Consider the following 4,659-nt stretch of genomic DNA (forward strand, 5'->3'; position numbering starts at 1 on the left):
ATAGGAGAAAAGGAAAAATATTGATTATATCTACTGTTGATAGTGTGTGAGAAAATGCATATCATCACACAGTTTTGGTGAGAGTGTGAAATTGTCCATCTTTTTTGAAAGGGACTTAGGATTGTCTATGCAAATGAAAAATGCATACATTTTGCTTTGGCAGTTTAACTTCTGTGTGTGTGTATATATGTGTATAGAAAGAGATTCACAACATCATGGATTATAATGAAATATATGGAAACACAGTCTGTTCAATAAACTGTGATACATTATGATAAATAAAAACAGAGCTATAGCCACAATATTAAATGAAAAAAAGTAAGTTTCTTAATACTAGATGTAGTATGATCCATTTATGTAAGCTCACATTGAGGTGCACTGAGCCCTCGGTTTATGCCTCATAATAAATATGTCTGTAGAAAGATTATCATTCTTGCTAGTTTAGTAATATACCTGAAATATGTACTTTACTGTTGTTTCTAATGGTCACATGTAAAACTGAAGGATTTCAGACAATCCAAGAGCTTTTTTTTCAATTTATGTGCAAAGGCTACTAGAAATTACACTCACTGAAATTAATTTCTAAGATATTTTTCCACTTTGGCTCTAACAGTAAAAGTTTGTCACTAGACTTATTCTATTACTCAGTGTTTACTGACTATTATGAGCATACTAACATTATAAGCGCAGATTTTGTGCCAAACCTATGATGGACTTTCATTTGGTTGAATCACAAAATGAAACAAACACTTCTCTGATTTTAGTATGTGCTAATAAATCTCTAGATTGTTTTGCTCTCTGATCTTGTAATAAGCTGTTAATGTAGCAACCGAATATTTTGACTTTCTTCTGAGACAAAAGAGAAAACAAATAAATGACAGAAATTTTCTGCTTAACAGTGTGTTTATTGCTTTTCATTCAGTGTGTCATAAGATACATTTTCGGGAGAATGAAATTCTACAGAAATCGCTTCTCTTTATATCATATAAGTTAAAGAATTCAAAAACTGCATTAACAAGCAACAAAAATTGTAAGCCTGTTTGATACTATCATAGTTTATAAATATACACTATATCCAATAGCATATTTATTCAAATTATTGTTTTATTGGGGATTTGGGATATAGTTGGATAGCTCAGAAGAGAGTCTGGGCAATTTGTAGGCATTGGATTTGAGAAAAACCTAGTGAAAGTTATTGTTAACAGGATAGAAATTCAATAGTTCCCCCTTTTCTGGGTTTCTCTGGAAGATAAATTGACATCAGGAAACTTTGAAAACAATTTTATGTAGAATATAGCTGTCTGGTACCCCATTGTGGTGTTATAGTCTACAACGGTTTAAAACATATAGTTTAAATGAGTGACTAAATAAATGTTTTCCTAAATTAATAAATAAATAAATTGATGACCAGGAACACAGGAAAAGAAATACCTTACCTTTGAGTACATATAAATGTAATACAAGAATTACTTAGAAAAATTCATTGCATTTAATACACTAAATAGGGTATTGAACATCAGGACTTTCTTGAGTCACATTAGTCTTCTCAGATACACAGGGTAGATTTCTAAACTTCTGTTTTCCTACCATTTCAACTAAAAAGTCATCCAGGAAATCTGTAATCTGAATCTTTATGATGTGAATTATATCTAATAAAACTTTTTACAAATGTCTTGTGATATTGCCCTAATTCTGACCCTTTACATTCTGTCTTCATGATTACAATAGTTTCTGATCTCATCTTCCCACTCTATTTAAATTTTCAAGTGTATCCTTTTCCTTACTAAGTAGCATATTCATAGAAGACAATGCCTATCATGTCACACCTGTCTTTAAGATCATCTCCTACCTCCACACAGTAACATTCTTACCATGGCAAACACAACTGCCATTATGTTGACATTAACTGACCTTTTGATGGTCTTTTTTGAAAACCAAGGTCCTCATGAAACCTGCATTAAAATTACAGTAAACAAAGAATCTACCATGTCATTTTATTACTAACATTTTTCTAACCTTGTATCTTTTTCCAATAATATCCATCATTTACTCATTAATTCAACATGAATATGATAACTGCACTAGGCTAGGCACTATATTTGGTATTAAAGACATTAAATATTAGGTTAGGTCTCTACTATAAAATAAACATGATCAAATAAGAGAGAAAAACAAATAAACCAAAAACAATAATGCAATACAATGCTTCTATATTTTTTCCTTCCAAACTTAGTAAAATTTATTATGCAATAAAAACTTTCTTGAAATTTTATGTGGAAATGAAACTCTTTTCCTTTTTCTGCTATACCATGTTATTTGTCTCTATTAAGGTATCTATTTAATTCTCCTTTGCAATATACTTGGTTCATTCATTTAAGTGAATATTTCACAGTGTAGTGTTTCCTAGATGTTTCCTGTGTGCCCCCTACTGGCTCATCAATTCTTTTAGGATAAATCATATGTCTTGTTTTCATTTCATCGTGTTTAGAAAAAGTATAATATTCTATTTTCAGATTTAAAAAGTAAATAAATCATGTAAGTATACACTGGAAGATGGCGTGATTATAAGAAGACTATTAGTCATAAAAGTGTATGTCTCTAATAAGAGTTAATTTGAAGTTAAGTTGCCTTGCGACAAACGCATGCCCAGAAAAATCCAGTGCTGCCCACACATTGCTCTAAGTAAGAATGTACCTAATGCATTATGCTTAGTTTGAACTTCGCAATTTAAGGATCAAATTGAAATAAAAAAAAAGTGTGTGCAAAGATATATAAATAGAATGATAAAGCTTTGGAATATTAGGATATGGGAGAAGAGTTGGAAAGTTAGAGAAATGAAAAATGCTTACCTGTAGAAAAAGAAGCATGATGGGAAGGGAATGGATTGCCATCTTTAAATTTCATATATCTCTCCAGACAGCAAATCTACAATGAATGCAAAATACATAATGAAAAGGTAGTCAGATTTTTATTTTAATCTGCTGAGTGTCATGTAGAGGCTAAACACTGAATTGGAATACCTTAATTGCAATATTGAAGTAGAAGTAGGATATTGAACTAGATTATTTCTAAGACACTTTTCAAGTCATGAGTCTAAGATAATTTAAATATTTAGCTACAGCTCAATTTTCCATTGTCCTTTTATTTTAGGATTTCATTGTTTTTATTTTAGCTAGAAAGAATGGTAAATATATTTTTGTGTTAAATAGTTGTTTTAAGTAGTGTTTTCAAATGTACATTAATGGAGCATAGATTTTTCAGAGGTAAAAAAGTTTTCTAATAAATTAATGAGTCACTAAAATGTATGAATGCCTACAAGGTGTTCATCAATTATATAATCAATCATAATCGAAGGTGCACTTTGGTTTCACATATAAGTTTCCTTCCTAATATAAGCATTGGTCTAATTGTGGAGATGGGATATATTTAACATAGCTAAATAATAAATCTATGCACAATAGCAAATACTTCACATGTTTGATTTTTTGCCATTTTCCCACTTTTAACAACAACATTTATCATATTTATATAATATCAAGAAAAGTACTATTTTAAAAACAGGATTACAAAACTCTACAAAATTTATTTTTGTATATGATGTGACATTAATATATTTGGTGGAGAGAATGAATAGGAAGACTTAGAGGAAAGAAAAAACACAAGTAACGAGAGAAGCAACATGATAAAGACATCTGTAAAGGAACAGTCAATGACACGTGTTCCAAAAATCAATAGAAGAAGCAGTCCATTGAGTGACTCCAATAATTACCTTGGGCAACATAACCATGTTCAATCTGAATTTTCTTATCTTTGTAGGCAAGACATTGGCACAGATTATCCGAAATGTCCCTTTGAACCCTAAACATATAATTCTACAAAATTATCTCTGCTTTCACCATCAAGTAAAATACATTTTAAATGCTTTGCAAAGAAGGCAGGCTTTCCTCTTATGAAAGGAAAAATACATCACTGTTATAGCTTTGGGGATATCTTGTCAACTTTGTTTTCCAGTTTTGAGATTTTTTTCATAATAGCTTCTCCTTTATTTTAACAGTTATTAACGTTTCTGCCCTAAAAATCCGGGTGTTTCTAGAAAGCTAATCATTATCAGACCTTCCTTTGTTGCTTGTTTTTTATTTTTTTATTTTAAGTTCCAGGATACATGTGCAGAAAGTGTAGTTTTGTTACATAGGTATACATGTGCCACGGTGGTTCGCTACACCTATCAACCTGTCATCTAGGTTTTAAACCCCACATACATTAGGTATTTGTCCTAATGCTCTCCCGTCCCTTGCCTCCCACCCCCTCAGACAGGCCCTGGTGTGTGATGTTCCCCTACCTGTGTCCATGTGTTCTCATTGTTCAACTCCCACTTATGAGTGAGAACACGCGGTGTTTGGTTTTCTATTCCTGTGTTAGTTTGCTGAGTATGATGGCTCCCAGCTTCATCTATGTCCCTGCAAAGGACATTATCTCATTATTTTTTATGGCAGCATGATATTCCATGGTGTAAAAGAAACTATTATCAGAGTGAACAGGCAACCTACAGAATGGGAGAAAATGTTTGCCATCTATCCATCTGACAAAGGTCAAATATCTGTAATCTACAAGGAACTTAACAAAATTTACAAGAAAAAAACAAACAACACCATCAAAAAG

At 31.6% G+C, this 4,659-nt stretch overlaps 1 long non-coding RNA gene across 1 annotated transcript; it reads right to left on the reverse strand.

The window, feature by feature from the left end:
- Nucleotides 1-884: 884 nt before the first annotated feature.
- LOC124908060 (uncharacterized) lies at nt 885-4,457 on the reverse strand. The gene is made up of 2 exons (XR_007088685.1): nt 4,340-4,457; nt 885-2,925 (listed from the first exon to the last, which is right to left on the reverse strand). It is a non-coding gene; the product is annotated as an uncharacterized LOC124908060 (long non-coding RNA).
- Nucleotides 4,458-4,659: the final 202 nt, after the last annotated feature.

The sequence above is a fragment of the Homo sapiens genome, chromosome 2, assembly GCF_000001405.40.
Source record: "Homo sapiens chromosome 2, GRCh38.p14 Primary Assembly".
In the NCBI taxonomy this organism is placed as follows: Eukaryota; Metazoa; Chordata; class Mammalia; order Primates; family Hominidae; genus Homo; species Homo sapiens.